Here is an 18006-nt window from a genome sequence, read left to right on the forward strand (position 1 = left end):
GTGCCATGGGGCTCCCCGGGTAGGGAATCCCCCACCTTTCCCTCCACCCTCATGAAGAACTGAGTCCTGGGTGTACCCATACACCCACCCTTTGTGGCTTTCATGGAAAATCCTGAGGCTGGACACCAGACGTTTGTAGACCCCACTCTCCACAGCTCAGGCCATCCTAGGTTCAGGGCCAGGACTGACAAGGTCAGAGGACCCTGCAGCAGCCTCAGGTCCACCAGCTCTAAGCCGCTGAGCTGTGGGCTCCAGCCTTTGCCCCGGGGACCCCTCCCTAGCATGGCTCTGATTGTGTTCCTCCATCCAGTCCCTGTCCCCTTTCACCCCAGCGCCCACCTCAGAACCCCAGCCTGCCTAACAGAGCCCTCACGCACTCCCCAGCCTCCACCAACCCTTTGCTGTAGGGTCCAATCTTGTCCTTCTGCCCTCAGGACTGGTGGGCCCAGCTCCAAGTTGAATGTTGCCTCACGGCCAGGACTGTCTTCTGCCCTCTGTGAGCCTGGAAGAGGGAGAGAGAGGAGAGAGGCCATCACTGTGTGCCCAGGGCTCACACTCATGATCCCAGGCATGAAGCCAGCTCAGCTTCTTAGTACTAAAGGCCTGGGTACTGCATCAACCCGGCAATCACAACTCTGCTGCCTTTCAGGGCCAGTGGACCCTGCAGGTGAGTCCTTACACACTTGGAAGAGGATCCTGGTCTCCTCGGCCTCCAACCTGCTTGGGGCTTCTGCATTCAGAGCTGTGGGAGCAGCAGGGGAGCCCTTCATCATCCTATTGCAGAGCACTGAGACAGCAGGGGACTCTGTGGGCAGATTCTGGCACCCCCTACCCCATCCCCGACTTCCTCCCGCCCCGCCGGTCCCCTCTCCCTCCAAGGCTGTCCCGGCACATTACGTGATGAAGTGGCCTCATTCCTGGCACCTCCGACTCATAGCAGGCAGGCTGGAGGGGGCTGGGGGGAGCACTCAGGAGAGACTGGATGGGCAGCGGGCATAGAGGGGAGTGCGACTGGAATAACAGTGAATAACTGCACAGCACTTTTCAGTTTGTGCAGGTGTACTGTACTGGGCTTTGCGTTTACTCACCCATGGCCTCATTTGAATTTGACAACAACCTGTGGCATTGTATTAGCATCGTCCCCATTTTAGGCTGTGGATATGGGCACAGAGAGGGAAAATGATGCCCTCAAGGTCAGACAGCCAGGAGGTAGCCGGGCAGGGATGCACACACGGTTCTAATCACAGCAGCCCACATTCACTGAGCGCCTGCTGTGTGCAGGCCCGTTACTTGCACAGTGGGGCACTTATTCCTCATGGCAACCCTCTGAGTCTGGAACCATTATTATCCCATTTTAAGACAAAGAAACTGAGGCACAGAGAGGTCATGCTACTTGCCCAAAGTCACACAGCTACATCCTTCTTGTCCTCAGACCCCACTTCTTCCACAATGAGATGGAATTGGGGTTCTCCAGGGAAAGGCCCACACCTCCTAGGTCCCCAGTCCTTGAGTCCTTGGTCCCCAGTAAAGCTGTTCTCCTCCCCGCCTCATCCCAAGAGCCTGGGGTCAGTGTGGGGCCCAGGGCAGAGCTGATGCAGCTGGAGAGACAGATTCCTGAGCACAAGCAGCTGGCAGCAGATCGGATCAGGACCCAGGCAGGCTGAGTTCCAGCGCTGGATCTACCACGCATGTGCTGTGTAGCCTGGGGACCACCCCCCTTCCCCTCGCTGGGCCCCCATTCCAAGGCTTCCAAAGTTCCAGAACTCGGGGACTGTGTGGACCCCCTCTGAGTTCCCTGCACTCATGGCAGGAAGAGGCACACACCGGCCCCTCCTTCCTCTCCTTCCTCTCCTCTCCCGGAGGGGGCGCCCTATGGAATAGTCTCACCTCCTCCGGGATCTTTCCTCCATCTCTCCTCAGTGCTTCTCCGGCCTTCACTCCAACTGGAAGGAATTGAACTGGGAACTTATTGAATGCCTGCTGTGTCCTGAGGCACTGAAGACACCTTGCAGCCTTCTAACGCTTCCACCCCCTTCTGAGGTGTGGAACTATCATCCCCATTTCACAGATGAGGAAACCAAAGTCTTGGAGAGGTCGAGTGATCCAAGAACACCAGTTAGGAAGTGGCAAGGCTGGAATTTGAACTCAGGTGTCTGGCTCCAAAGCCCACTTTCTCCTGGGTCCTGCTGCCTTTCCCTCGCAGTGCCTGGTGGGATTGTGACGGAGCCCCTGACCTGCACACCACCGAAGGATATGGTCTTCCTTAGGTGAGAGGGGCCCCAGGAACCCAAAGGGTGTATCACTTAGGACAATTGTGTATGTATGCCGAGGATGTGCAAAATGGTGTGCATGTGTGTCCACGTCTGGGAATGCCCATGTCATGATCCCACCATAACTCATCAGGGATCGTGGCAAAGGTCACTTGTCAAGCCCCCCTGTGACCTGCCATCATGCCTGAACTTCACTCTCATGGAGGCATCTCTTCCTGGTTGCAGCCTCTGAGTGTGCGTCATTACTCTTCCATATCAGGATTCAGATGCCCAGGGAAGTGGCTGGTTTGTAGGCACACAGCAGTACCTGCTGGAGCTGAGAGCCTCCATGGGATCCCCTTTTTCTGCAATGGTGTGTGCACCTGTGAGGGGTCGGCCCTTATGTGGTCAGTAGAAGGAGGAAGCCCAGGGGTCCCCAGAGAGCCCCCCAGGAAGGAAGCATGTTGTCCTGGTGCCTTGAGAGTCCCTGACTCCCTCACCCCTTTCTGTTTATCCCTCTGGGCCTGAGTTTCCTTACTGCATACTGAGGAGCACCTTGCCTGTCTTGCAGGCTGGTTGTGAGGGTTCCATGTGACTACCCAGATGCACTTTGTGAACAGAGTGAACATGCTAGAACATGCTAAACCACAGGCCAGCGTGGAGGCCGTCCAGAGGCTCCACCCACTCTACCCAGGTGGATGGTGTCTTCCTCCTTGGGGAGTGGTCGCAAGTGCTGGTTCTATCCTCAGAGTCACAGGTTCAGAGCTGGCTCTGCTGAGTCACCCCAGACAAGACCCATGATCACCCTGAGCCTCGGTGTCCCCTCTACCACCAGGGCAGCCCCTTACGTCCTTGAACCATTCCTGCTGGTCAGAAGGATGTCCTGACCTCTGACCAAATCCACATCAGGACACAGTTCCCACTCTAGAGTCCACTGTGCACATGTGTGCCTGTGTGCATGGGGCAAGGTTGACCTGCTCAGACACTGGCAGCTCCTCCCACAGCATAGATGACTCTCAGGTCCTCACGGGCCCCTTCTCCAGCTGAGCAGCCCCAGCTCTGAGACCCACGACCTCCTGGGCCCCTCCTTTGGACCAAGCCCTGTGCTCAGTTCTTGACAGAGTCCTCCCAACAGCTCTGAGAAATAGGAGCTCTTATCACTCTCACTTTACTGATGAGGAAACGGAGGCTCTGAGAGACCAAGGGACTTGTGGAAGGTCGCAGGATGTGCTGGAGCTGGGACACAACCCAGGCCCCTGCTGACTCCACAGCCTGCCGATGCTACTCTGTCTTCTGTCTCTGTCTTCTCCTACTCTACAAGCCTTCCAGAACATTCCTCCTGCACCTGTGCTGCTTTTCCCTCCCTCGAAGAGCAGGCCCAGAGAACGCCAGGCCAGCCCTGAGGACGGCGGGTCTCTCACCTCCTCCTCCCTGGACAGCTCCTTACCTTGCTGTTTCTCAACATGAGCTTTCCCAGCAACTCAACACCCAGTGACTCACGCTGAGCCCCCAGCTCAGCTCCTGCAGGGGCTGTGGACAGGCAGCTCTCCCTCCCTGCTGCTTGTGCAGTTAGTTTTCAAAACCAGATGCAGAACTTCTCAAAGAACCTGTATTAAATTCTATCTGCTTAATCTCGCATTGAGCTCCGCCGGATGCCAACAGCGTTTGGTGTCCCTCCCGGGTTCCATCTTCTGGGGATCGGGTTGGTTTGTTTCTGTAGCTCTTCTTTTAGGTAGGCCAAGTGTCCTGGGCTGGGAACACAGCCTGTGGCACACCCCCAGAGACTGCCCTCTAGGCCAGCATCCGCTCACTGACAGGTCCTCTCTGGGCTCCATGTTCAGCCAGCCTGGCCGGCTGTCCTCTGTCTGTGGCCCTGTCTGTCTTCCCTGTGGCTTGCTGGCCTGTCCCCTTCCCCATCCCTCTCTCTCTCTCCTTGTTATTGTCCCTTTCTCTTTTCTTCTCCCCTCCTCCTTCTCTGTTTCCCCCAACACCTCCCCCGCCCAAGGTGGTCAAGGTCACAGCCACAAAGGCTGCTCCTCACTTGCCTCCAAAGGCTGCTTTGGCTACATCCTGGGCCACAGCAAAGATGGCGCTCAGAGCCTGGCAGGGGCACAGGGGCAGGAAGGAGTGCTGCTGCGTGATCCAAGGGGATCCCAACAGCCTCACCACTTATTGAGCAGCTGCTGTGTGAGAAGTGGGGACCCACTGACTGAGAGGAACCCATCTGCGGTCACACAGACCTGGGCTGGCCTCTCAAATCCCCTTTTTAATTGTGTGACCTGGGGCAAGTCGGCCTCTCTGAGTGTCTGCTTCCTTATCTGTGAATTGGGGTAAATGTCACAGTCTGCTGCGAAGACTGAAGGAGACCATGTATGTAAATACTTTGATGTAATTCTTGGCCAGAAAATAACACTGGAAAGAACACAGGCAATCTTAGCTGACATCATTTGTATTGCAGGGCCCTGTGCTAGAACCTTTTCATTTATTACTTCTTTAAATTTCTTCTTTGCGTGATGTAACTTTCCATACATACTTAATACAATGCAATCTACGTTACACATCTACCTGTCTATCCTTGTACCTATCCATGTCTCTAGAGCGCATCAACACACAACAAACACCAGTGAACTGCAGTCTGAGAATTAGAACATCACCAAGAGGAAACAGAAGTCCCTCAGGTCCCTGCAACAATTTCATCTCCCACACCCTACTGGAGGTAACCACTGTCATGCAATTTACGTTTTGCATTTCTTTTTTTTTTTTTTTTTTGAGATGGGGTCTTGCTGAGACATCCAGGTTGGAGTGCAATGGCACAATCTCGGCTCACTGCAACCACTGCTTCCTGGGTTCAAGTGATTCTCTGGCCTCAGCCTCCCAAGTAGCTGAGATTACAGGCGAGTGTCACCATGCCCAGCTAATTTTTGTATTTTTAGTAGAGAAGGGGTTTCACCGTACTGGCTAGGCTGGTCTCAAACCCCTGACCTCAAGTGATCTGCCCTCCTCGGCCTCCCAAAGTGCTGGGATTACAGGCGTGAACCACCACACCTGGCCTACATTTTGCATGTCTATGCTTTTGAAAGAAAATATAGTCTACTTTTATGACTTTGGGTTGGAAAAAAGGTATTTACCAAAATACATAAAGTGCCAAGCATAAAGGAAATGATTGATAAATTTGATTCAATTTAGGCAGAGTTTCTGTTCATCCGGCATCACTATAAATAAACTAGAAAGATAAGCCACAATGTGGGAGCAGATACTACAACACACAAGCAAGAAATGATTGCATCCTGAATATATTTTTAAAATTTCCTAAAAAGATGAAGAAACCCATAAGAAATCCAACAGAAAATTAGATAATGGGCATGAATAGGCATTTCAAGAAGGCTGAATGGCTAATGATCATTTGAAAATATGTGCAACCTCATTAGTAATCAGAGAAACACAAATTACAGAACACTCAGAATTCCCATTTTACACCTGCTAGTTGGACAAAAATGAATTTCAAGTCTAGGTGGAGAAACAATAGAAACTCTCCCACACCACTGCTTGGAGTGGAAATGATACAGGCTCTTTGAAAACCAATTTGGCACTGTCTTGTAACATCGAACATGCACATACCTTATACTTCAGTGGTTGTACTTCTAGAGTTTACCCCAGAGAATCTCCTGTACATGGGCGTCAGGAGACTTGTATAAGAATGTTCACAGCAGCTTCATTTGTAATAACAAAAACCAAGAAACAACCCAATCAATATCTTTGAGTAAGTGAATGAATCTCTCGAGTCCTTTCCAACTTCCAGATGGAAGTGTCTGAGGCCTCAAACTGGGCTTCACAGCCAGTGACAGGCACTGAGTCAGCTACCCCCATCCCCTGGGCAATCAGTGGGGCTCCCTGCAGATTTGACTACTTCAAACAGACCCCAGGTGGCCCCTCACTGACAAGTTCAAGGCCATCTAAGAATTGGAGCCTCTGGGCTCCTGAGTCAATAGGACCCACGTGACTGGGGTCAGGCATCGGAGGCAACAAAGACACCAGGAGTGGGTAGGGTTATTCCAGGGCTTCTCCACCTGACAGGCCCATCCACCAGGGTCAGAGAGCCCCAGCCCAGAGACTCAGGACTCAGAGGGTCTCCTTTCCAGGCCCCCAATGTGCAGATGGGCACACTGAGGCAAGGAGGCAGCTGGAAGGGAGGGCATAGCTTCCTAAGTTTAGTTCAAAGATCTTCCCAGTACCCCATGCCACCCCTCCATGACCCCCAACCCCTCAGCAGGCCAGATGCCCAGCAGACCAGATGCCCACAGGCAAGATCCATGCATGCACGTACACACACACACACACACACACACACACACACACAAACACAGAACACAACACACACACAGACACACAACACACACACACACGCACTCATGCATCCTTCCAGGCTGAGTTACAGTGACTGATGGGCCTTTCTCATCCCTCTACCTCCCCTTCTCCTCCTCTCTCTTTGGTGGCTGGGATTACTCACTCCTCCCTCTCCCCCATCCAGCTCATATCAGGAAGCCCCATGGAAACAGTAGATGGAGTTCCTTCTCTTTGTGGGACCATGATGACTCCTGCACCCATCCCTCCAAAGAGTTTTGTCTGGCAGCCAGGCCAATAGACCTTCTGCTATGCTTACATGCCCAGCAAAAGAGGCGGAACTCCCTCTGAGCTGGGAGCAGGAAAGAGACTTCTAAGCGGCTCCTGAGCTCTTAGGCCACAGCCAGGATGGGGCCAGGGAGCAGGTCACCATCCCAGGCCAGGTCCTGGAGCAGACTGCAGCTCAGTCTACCCATGGCAAGCTACCCTGGCTCCAGACATCAGATCTCAAGTCCCAACCCCAAACCCTCAAGGCCTCCCCAGCCAAAGTCCCCTAAATTCCTCCTCCTACCCCAAGCTCTGCTGGGCCTAATCCGGGAGACAGCCTTGCCTGAACTCCACAACCCAGACCCCACTCAGGCCAAGAGTACTGAGGACTGGTGGGGTGGGGCACCAGCTCTGATGCCACTGGGGGAAGATCACCCCATAAGCCTGAGGCCTGGTCCCAGGTAGGACAGAGAAGAACCCCACTCCTTCCACCCAGTGGAGTCCCCAGGCCTTCCCAGATGCACTTTCTCAGGCAGTATGCTTCATTTTGAGACATGAGAGGGCCACTGAGCTGCCTCTCACCCCACTGAGGCCCTGGATCATGTTCAACTCTTTCTGGGGCATCATGAGAGGCTCAGGCTTTGGTGTCAGGCAGATGGACCCCAGCAGCTGTGAGACCTGGGTGAGTTGGCTGCCCTCTCCAGGCCTCACTTTCTCCTCTGTAAAATGATTAAGTGTCTTACGCAGTGCCAGGCATGCTGAAAGGGCTCAGCTTACAAACACAGGGCACAGACAGTGACAGAGGAGATACAGCCCTGCTGGGGATGACCATCCTGCTTTCCATCCCAGCCCATTCCCAGGCCCTGCCTCCTCATGGGGTGGAGAGGGAAAAGGAACAAACTGGCTAGTAGGGACCCGAGTCACTCCTGGCTCTGTCAGACTTGCTGCCTGACCTTGGACAAGACAATTCTTGTTTCTGAGCCTCAATTTCTTGATATGAAGTCTGGCTCTATGATGTACTCATTCTATTTGCATGCTGGCTAACGCTCTGTGCCTCAGTTTCTCCACTGGCCAGAGGATACAACCCGTTCTAAACTATCTCATGAGCCCACATCACTTAACCTGAAGTAAGGGTCTATTCAACACTCTGAGCCCACTGGCGAGGCCACATTTGACCGCTTCCCTCATCTGGCTGGTTTCTTATCCTCCCCTGAAAGCTTGAGAATGTTTGGCACAGAAACAGGCCCGGCAGCAGCAGTGGGGAGGGTGTGGTGCGAATATGCCCACGTGGGAGACCACTGAGTCCCAAAGACTCTGGGATGAGTCCTGGGCCTCGTCCTGGATGGAGTGGGACTACAGTCCTTCCCACGGGCAGCCGGATGGAAGCCACGGCCTCTACCAAGACTGTCTGTGGCTTGCGAAAACTGAACAGAGGCAGGAACAAGGTGAGGGTGAGCTGGCGCCACTGGGCCTGGCTGGCACAGCCCCTGTTCCACCGAGTCAACGAGCTCAGATGTACTTTCTGGTCTGGAAAGCATCACTATCCACCACTGCAGAGTTTAATGTCTGGAAATAGACCCAGGGCATGCCTGTCTGCTAGTCAGCAAAAACAGGAGCCCAGAGCTGCCACTCATTAGTCAGGGAGAAGGGCACCGCTCCCCTGTTGACCTTCCAGCTCCTTCCTTTGATGCCATCACTTCCTACCAGCCATGGGAACATTTCCAGGGCAATTATTTTGGGAGAGGTCCACTTAGGCTCTGGGAGAGTGGCTAATGAAGGGTCAGTTACAATCCCTGCTGCCCAGGAAATGTCAGTCCCCCTGGAGGAAAGACACCCACGGTGTTGCTAGCAGTAAGTCAACTGGGGAGTAAGGGTAGCTTTCAGATTTCAGATGACAGGTTCTTGGAGGAGGAGCGAGCATTTTGGATGCCAGACCTGGGTTGGGAAGAAAATCCCCACAGGCTGGAGCCCAAGCTAGACTCACAGGATGGTATTTCAGTGTAAATGTGAATTTAGCATGCAATGCAAGGCTCTGAGCTGAGAAAAACAAATCAAGGCGCAAGTAGGGGAGGGAGCCAGGCCTTGAGAGGGAAGCTCTTAAAGAGCTCATTGTGGACCCAGGCAGGTGTATCCCTCATAGCATCTGTCCGTTTGTTATTCTCCCCACCCCCAGGCCAGCCCTTCCCAGCCAAGGCTTTTCCCATGAGATGGAGAGTCTTCAAATCTAGCTAGCTTAATAACAACAGCAACAACAATAATAATTATGGTAAAAATAGTGATCTGATAAAAAAATTACCCTCACATCTGAAAGTTTACTGAATGCTTACTCTGAACTATGTACTCACATAACCTCTATTTTCATGACTTTCCAGGCTGGTATTATTAAGACCATTTTACACAAGAGGAAACTGAGGCTCAGGAAAATGATATTACACAGAGCTAGTGGGTGGCAGAGATGCGATTTGAGCTTTAGTTTATCTGACTCCAAAGCCAACACTCCTCTGTGCACATCTTTTTCTTCTTTTTAGACCATGTTAATAGAGGTATGGAGTCTAGAAAAAGGGAGATGAGAGTCCTCTTCAACTGGAGGGCTCAGAACCTATGTGCTGTTCTGAGAAATAAATCTAGAGGGTCATCGATAGCCTGAACCTTGTCTAAAAGCCAGGCCTCTGAACTGAGAAGGGCATGAGAATCTGGTCATATGGATTAATTTATTCAACACTTTCATTATCATTCTATTATGTTGTTGGAGGCTCTTCCAGGTCCCGGAGATAGAACGGTGAAGAAGATTGACAATGCCCCTGATGTCATAGAGTTCACATTCAAGTAGAGCAGACAGATAATAAGCAAGTGAGTATATACCAAGAAGTGATGTTTCCTGTGAGGGAAAAGTGTGACGAGAAAGGAACTGGAGATGAAGGGCTGCTCCAGAGAGGGTGGCCAAGGCAGGCTTCTCTGAGAAGGTGGCATTTCAGCAGAGACTTGAATAAAGTGAGAGTCAATTTTTGCCAATAGCTGTCAAGAGAATGTTCCAGTCACATAGAGCAGCAGCTGTGAAGGCCCTGAGGTAGGGAATGAGATAGTGATGATGACGATGGTAATGATGGTGATAATGGTGATAGTGATGATGGTGATGATGATGATGATGATGATAATGATGATGGTGGTGGTGATGATGATAATGATGGTAATGATAATGATGGTGACAATGATAATGGTGATGATGATGATGGTGATGATAATGATGATGATGGTGGTGATGATGATAATGATGGTAATGGTAATGATGGTGACAATGATAATGGTGATGAGATAGTGCTGATGATGATGGTGAGATGATGGTGATAATGATGATAGTAATGGTAATGATGATGGTGATGGTGATGATGATGGTGTTGATGATGATGATGACAATAGTGATGGTAATGATGGTGATGATGATGATAGTGATGACGATGATGGTGATAGTAATGGTTATGATGATGATGGTGATGGTAATGATGATGATGATGGTGATAGCGATGATGATGATAGTGATAATGGTGATGGTGATAATGGTGATGGTGATGATGATGGTGGTGGTGGTGATGATGATGATAATGGTCATGATGATGATGGTGATATGATGATGATGATAGTGATGATGGTGATGGTGATGATGGTGGTGATGATGGTGATGGTGATGATGGTGGTGGTGGTGCAATTGAGGAAGAGAGCAGAGGCCAGTGTTTCTGAAGCAAAGTGAGGTGGGAGGAAGGAAGGGGAAAGGAGAGATGTGAGGGGTTGGCAGAAGGAAGGTCATTAGAGAATTCAGCCATAGTGAACTTTGGATTTTATTTTTTGATGTCAAGGAGAGTCATTGCAGAGTTTTAAGCAAGAGAGTGGCATGGCTTGATTTATATACTAAATAGATCACTTCAGCTTCTGGGTGAGGATCACTTTGGCTTCTGGAGGCAAGAGTGGAAGCAGTAAGACCAGGTAGGGAGGATCACAGAAGTTCTTGTGGACCAGAGTGGGGCCAGAGGAGAGTGTGCAAGGTGGTCACTCACCCAAGGAGTTACTGAAGGAACAGCATGCTTGTCCTGAACAAGAAGAGTTGAAAGTGATCGTGAAAGCCATCTTCAAACATTGGAAGGCTGTCACATGGACCAGAGGTCAGAACCAAGACTAATGAGTGAGACCATAGGAATGCTAATTTCTCTTTGAAAAGTTTTTTTTTTAATGTTCTGGCAATGCTGACTCAAGATGGAGCATGCTTCCTGGTGTAGGCAATGGCCTTCCTACCACTGGAGGTGCACAAGCATAGGTCAGCTCTCAGAGCTATGAGGTGCAGTGAACACAGATTAACACTTGTGATCAGACAGACCTGGATTCAGAACCTCCTTTCTCTGCTTATTATCTGTACTGCCTTCAGCCACTCACTTTTCTGAGCTTTGGTTTCCTCATCCCTAAATTCCTACCCAATTAGATTGTTGTGAAAACATTAAGCATTCAAGTACATAAAGCACCCAGCCCTGTATCTGGCACAAAATAGGTGCTCAATTAATGTCAGTGATGATAATGATGATGGTGATGGTAATGATGGTGATGATGATGATAGTGATGGTGATGATGACGATGGTGGTGGTGATGGTGGTGATAGTGAACTCACCAATCAATTCCCGACTAATCACTCAGGCATGAAGGCTTCAAAGGTATGCACTTAGGGTCCTGGGTGAGAGGTCCAGGAGCCCAATGAAGAATTCTATCCTATCTGAGTCAAAACACCATAACTGTTAAAGAAAAAGTTATTCAATTATACTTGAATTAAAGCACGGTAAGGCAGACTTTATTCAGGACCATTGCAGTGGGATTTTGCAGTGTGGGAGACACTTTGGGCTGAACTCCAAATATCGCATGGGCAAGTGGGAATTTATAACCAAGGATCACTGGATGGAAAACTACTAAGAGAAAACATCAAGGGTAATGGAGATTCTGGAACAACTGACATAACTGGATTCTTGCTGAAGACAGGCCAGAGTGACCAGACACCACCTAGAGGATGGTGGAGGATGGGAAACCTGATCAGATATCAAGGGTAATCAGATATTAAGGGTGGGAAGTTCTTTCTAAACTTGCTGAGTTAGAAGAGTTCTTTGCTGAAACTGGATTCTACGAGGAAGTGGATAGGTGGGTCTCAAAGAAGGTTCAGAAGCCTAACTAAATTTTGGTCAAGTAAATAATTTTTGTCAGCTCCTGTCCTATTAACAGATGAGACACAGCCCAGAAACAGAGAGCAATTTTCTTAAAGTCACAAGCAAAGTTCATGTTTCCTGGTTTCCGGTTTAACTCTCTACTTTGCCACAATGTATCTTTAGCGTCTATGTTCTGGGAAGTAATCAGCATCCACCTTTGTGGCCTCAAATTCCTGATGATAAAACCCCTTCCTTCCACACCAGGCTGATCTTCATTTACAGGCATATAGCCAGATAACCTGGGCCATCTTGGCCCATTAGGTATTATTTTATAAGTGTTATTTCTATTTAGAAACTTCTCTGCTCAGTTCATCTTGCCTCAGCCCCACTGTCCTCTGCTCCAACAGAAGTTACTATTTTCTTATTAATTTCATTGAGATTTCTGTGTATTAACTAGCATTTTGTCTTATCTCTGCCATCCTTGACTGTCCTCCGGTGTACCTTTTAGGAACTGCATTCAGCTGCTAGTAACAGGGATCTGAAAACTAACGGCTTAAATAAATCAAAGACTGTGATTTTTCCTCTCGTTTAAAGAATCATGGACATAGAAAGTCCACATATCCTATGTTAGATCCATAGATTATGTTAATGTCCCAGTTCCTCCTTTGTTTTGCCTTACCATCCACAGTGCCTGAGCTCATCCTAAAGACTGCCTACTGGTCATATGATGGCTGCTGGAGCTCCAGAGATTACTGTCACATTCCAGATGGAAGAAAAAGGAAGGGAAAGGATAAAAAGGCAGGGAGTTCTGCCAGTTTAACACCTCCAGTCACATTCCATTGGCCAACCCTATCTGAAATGGGCAGGGGCTGGTAAATGTAGCTTTGAGGTAGGACACCTGTCCACCCCAACAGCATTGGTATTCTGCTACTAAAGAAGAGAAGACAGGGTTCTGAACGACAGCCTGCAGCCTGGATCCCAGCCAGCATCTAGGAGACTGAAATGAAGACCTAGGGCTCCTGAAATGAGAATTCTGGCCCCAGAGCTGAATCCAGGAAGACTGGATCATAGGGAAAAGGTGTACAGATTCTTTCCTACCTACTTCCACTTAAAAAACAAATTTAAAATAATAGTTTAACCATAGATGTTTATTATGAAAACTTCCAAACATAAAAAAATAAAGAAAACCAGAATCCTTTATAGTCCCCCACCCAGAGATAACCTCTGTTGGTATTTTTGCATGCATCCTTCTGGCTTTTTTCTATGAAAAATTAGAAATGGACTTTACAACCAGTTTTACATGCTGCTTTTATTCCCTTTATTTTTATAAGCATTTCCCCAGGTGAATAATTTTCTGAAGGTTTTGGGTTTAGCAGCTAACAGTTCATCACATGATGTTCCACAATTGACATACAAATCTCCTATTGTTAGGCATTTAGATGTTTCCCATCTAAATTTCACCATCATAAATTATGTTGAGATAAACGACCCTACACATAGATCTTTATCTCCATCTCGAATTCTTCCTTGGGATAGATCTGTGGTCTTCTCAGGTCAACAGATATGGGCATTTTTAAGGCTTTGCCTGTATGTTGCCCAGTGGCTCTCCCGGGTGCCCGGCCTGGCTTCCACCCCTCCGGTGGGGTCTAAGAGCCTCTTCAAACCGGTTTCTGAGGCCTTCCCCTCACTTCTTCACCGTCTTCTGTAACTCAGGCCTCTGCCTCCTTCCCCGGCTCCCTTGGGGAAAAAAAGAAAAGAAAAAAAAAAGTTTATACTCTGAAATATCTAATCATGTATTTATCGCTAAGTACTTTAAAAAGTCAATATAATTACTCTAGTCCCATTAAGTTTAATTTGCAGCAAATTATGCATTTAGCGTGAAGTTGGGGGTGCGTTGCTGGATGAAGCGAGTAGGGTTTGGTTATTTAAAACGGGCGCTGGCGACAGCAGCGCAGGCTGGTTAAGCTGCGGCAGGTCCTTGCAGAGGAGGGGCTCTTCCCAGGAGGGCGCTCCAGCCGAGGCCCCTCTGCCTTCACCTGCGCCATGACCACTTCCCTCGGCCCTCTCCCCTCCTCCACGCCTCCTGGGGCCGCTCTCCAGGGTCCTGGGACGAGACCAGCCCCGGGCAGGGCAGCGCGGGGAGCCAGGGGTCCCACACCCAGGAGGGCCCCTCACCGCAAGGGACGGGCTTAGGCGGATAAATGTCCGGCTCCCCTCGAGGGGCAGAGTCAGCACCCCCCACACGGTCCCTGAGATGGCCCTGGGACCGAGCCGCCGCCCCCGACTTGTGATTCAGCCTCTTCCTGCCTGGCTTTCCCCTCCCCACTGTGCCTCCTGGGATCGCCTCCCAAATCAGCCGCCTGCGCCTTACAGGGACCCCACCCAGACAGCAGGGGTCCTTCCAGGGCCCAGCCGCGGCTGGAGTACAGGGGAGGGCTTGAGAGACCCTGGGAGGGGGCCAGCGGATGGCGATGGACAGAGGTAGGGGAGAGAGGGCAGAGCACCCAGGTGGATGAGCAAGTGAGGGTGCTCTCTTACCCTCATCTATGTATATGTACAAAAATTTTGTGTGCATCCATCTAACCAACATCCTGCTAAGATACACCACATGTCCATTACCCCCAGTATCTCTTATGCTCAATTTCTAGCAATTCTCCCAGCCACAGCCCCTTTCTGTCACCATAGATTAATTTTCCCGTTCCAGAATGTCATATAAATAGAATTCCATGGTAGATATCTAGGATCTCTTGCTCACCATAATGTTTGAGATGTACCTGTTTGTCTTTATAAGTTTATTCTCATTTGTTGCTCACTGTTAGTCCGTTATGTAGATACACCACAATTTATTTATCCATTAACTTGTTGATGGATGATTGAGTTAATACCAGTTTGAAGCTATTGTGAATAAAATTGCTATTAAAATACTCAAATAGTCTATTTATAGACCACAGTTTTTATCACTTTTGGGTACGTAAAAGTAGAATTTTTACATCAGAGTGTGGGTGTATATTTTATACTATAACAAGCTGCCAAGTTGTTTTCAAAAGTGATTTTATTATTTTACATTAGCTACAGAAATAGGATTTTCGTTTGCTCCATATACCTCACCAATACTTGGTATTATCCATCTTTTTAATTTTACCCATGATGCAGATACCTGACTAATAATGTTGAGCAGTTTTTCACGTGTTTTGTATCTCTTCTAATGTGCAGTGTATGTTGAAATATTTTGCCCAGTTTTATTGAGTTTTTCTTTTCATGATTAACTTGTAGGGATTCTTTACATATTCTGGGTACAAGTCCTTTGTCAGATATATGTGTTATGGCTATTTTTCCAAATTTGTGGTTTACATTTTCTTTTTAAAAAAATTTTCAAGTGTATAATACATTATACACTTGATATAATAGGCGCTAGGTTCTTTAATGATATCATTTGAAAAGCAGAAAACTTTTATGTTGATAAGTCCAAATTAGTATTGTTTATGGTTTTTTCTTTCATGGTAATCATGGTTACTGCTTTTATGTGAGTGTCTTAAGAAATCTTGATCTACTTCCAAATTATGAAGATATATATTCAATATTTTTCTCTTATCTTTAGTTTTTATGTTTAGGTCTATGTTTTATGTCAAATTCATTTCTATGTAAGGTGTGAGGTAAGGGTCTAAATGTAAAATTTTTCCATGTGGATATTCAGCTGTTACAGCACCATTTATTGAAAAGACAGTCCTTTCCCCCACTGAAATATCTTAGTCTTAGACAATATATATGTGTGGGTCTACTTGGTGCCTCTCTACTCTGTTCCATTAATCCACTTGTCTCTTCTTACTTTGCCTTGATTATCATACCTGCATAGTCTTGAAGTCAGGTATTATATGTCCTCCAAGTTTATTTATTTATTTATTTTTGAAATGGAGTTTCACTCTCGTTGCCTAGACTGGAGTTCAGTGGCGTGATCTTGGCTCACGGCAACCTCTGCCTCCTGGGTTCAAGAGATTCTCCTTCCTCAGCCTCCCAAGTAGCTGGGATTACAGGTGTCCACCACCATGTCGGGCTAATTTTTTGTATTTTTAATAGAGACAGGGTTTCATCATGTTGGCCAGGCTGGTCTCGAACTCCCGACCTCAGGTGATCCACCCACTTCGGCCTCCCAAAATGTTGGAATTACAGGCATGCAGGCATGAGCCACCATGCCCAGCCTGTCCTCCAAGTTATTAATGAATGTTTTGGCTAGTGTAGTTTTATTGCATTTATGTGTAATTTTAGAACTAGCTTGGTGATTTATACCAAAAAAAAAAAAAAAATCCTGCTTGGGGTTTTGTGTGCATGTGTGTCAAATTTATTGGTCACTTGGGGTAGGATTGACATGTTAATAATATTGAATCTTTTAATCCACGAATGCAATATGTTTATTTATTTAAATATTCCTTAATCTTCCTGTGAAGTATTTGTGGTACTCAGAATACAGGTCAGACACCTTTGAAAAATGCTTAAATGTCTTGTTTTTGATGCTATTGAAAAATGGTATCTTTTAAATATTTTCAAATAAGTGTTTGTTGGGCTGGGTGTGGTGGCTCACGCCTGTAATCCCAGCACATTGGGACGCCTAGTCGGATGGATCACTTGAGGTCAGGAGTTTGAGACCAGCCTGGCCAACATGGTGAAACCCCATCTCTACTAAAAATACAAAAATAAGCCAGATGTGGTGGCACTCACCTGTAATCCTAGCTACTGAGGAGGCTGAGGCAGGAGAATCACTTGAACCTGGGAGGCGGAAGTTGCAGTGAGCTGAGATCCTGCCACCACTGCACTCCAGCCTGGGCAACAGAGCGAGACTCCATCTCAAAAAAAAAAAAAGTGTAGAGCAGGCGTCAGCAAACTTTTTCTATAAAGAGTCAGAGAGTAAATATTTTAAGCTTTGCAGACCATAACGCCCTCTGTCACAACTACTTAATTCTGCCATTGTAGCATGGAAGTGGCCACAGACAGTATGTAAACAAATGAGCTTTGGCTGTGTTCCAATAAAGGTTTATTTACAAACTGAGGAGAGCAAAGATGGCCATCAAGCAGACCACCCGGAGGCAAAAATCCTTATGGGAGAAATTCAGAAGTAATTAGACTTCCTTATTATCTAATGCAGCATCTGGTACCAGGCTTCCTTCTCCAAGATATATAAGTAATTAGAATTTCCATATACCTCTGGAATGCATGCCTTTTGATACCCATTGTGCAACCTTTGCTAATGTCAAGGCACCAAAATGTCTGCAAATGTAATCATTTACCATGACCTCCATGACTAATATGGTCTAAATTACCCTTAAGCTCCTGCTTTAAGGTTCATAAATACCCCTAAGGAAAAATCCACCTGGCGTGCTCAGTCCTCTCTTGCTGAGGTGCCCCACTACACTTTTCTGCACTGTTTTTTCTATCTCATAAAACTTCCCTTTCCAACCTATACTATTGTCAGTAAATTATTTTACAACCCATGAGCCAACCACTCTCCACTGCTGGGGCTCTGACACCTCACCTGGCACAAACACTGAAATTTGACTTCTCTACAATTTTACATGTCACAAAATATTATTGTTTCTTGAATTATTTTCAACTATTTAACAGTTTTTAAAAAGCATTCTTAGCTTACAGGCCATACAAAAACAGATGATGGGCCAGATATGGCTCACAGGTCATAGCTCACCAACCTCTGGCATAGAGAAATCAATTGATTTTTCCATCGTCTGGGATGTGAGGAGCGCCTCTGCCCAGCCGCCCCGTCTGGGAAGTGAGGAGCGCCTCTGCCTGGCCACTGTGCAATCTTCCAAGTGTGAAGTGACAGCCTTTCTGCAGGTGTACCCAACAGCTCCGAAAAGACAGTGACCATCGAGAATGGGCCATGATGACGATGGCGGTTTTGTCGAAAAGAAAAGGGGGAAATGTGGGGAAAAGAAAGAGAGATCAGATTGTTACTGTGTCTGTGTAGA

General features: G+C 47.9%; 3 annotated features.

Annotated features, from left to right (window-relative positions):
* Positions 3883 to 4568: an enhancer, noted in NCBI's record as "H3K4me1 hESC enhancer chr1:30805338-30806023 (GRCh37/hg19 assembly coordinates)". NCBI's record gives its function as "activates a minimal SCP1, AML or CMV promoter by ChIP-STARR-seq in naive H9 embryonic stem cells {active_cell/tissue: H9 hESC(naive)}" and the evidence as "EXISTENCE:reporter gene assay evidence [ECO:0000049][PMID:30033119]".
* Positions 13596 to 14263: an enhancer, noted in NCBI's record as "H3K27ac-H3K4me1 hESC enhancer chr1:30815051-30815718 (GRCh37/hg19 assembly coordinates)". NCBI's record gives its function as "activates a minimal SCP1, AML or CMV promoter by ChIP-STARR-seq in naive H9 embryonic stem cells {active_cell/tissue: H9 hESC(naive)}" and the evidence as "EXISTENCE:reporter gene assay evidence [ECO:0000049][PMID:30033119]".
* Positions 17200 to 17400: a silencer, noted in NCBI's record as "peak152 fragment used in MPRA reporter construct". NCBI's record gives its function as "represses an SCP1 promoter by STARR-seq MPRAs in K562 erythroleukemia cells {active_cell/tissue: K562}" and the evidence as "EXISTENCE:reporter gene assay evidence [ECO:0000049][PMID:32103011]".

This window comes from Homo sapiens, chromosome 1 (genome assembly GCF_000001405.40).
Source record: "Homo sapiens chromosome 1, GRCh38.p14 Primary Assembly".
Taxonomy (NCBI): Eukaryota; Metazoa; Chordata; class Mammalia; order Primates; family Hominidae; genus Homo; species Homo sapiens.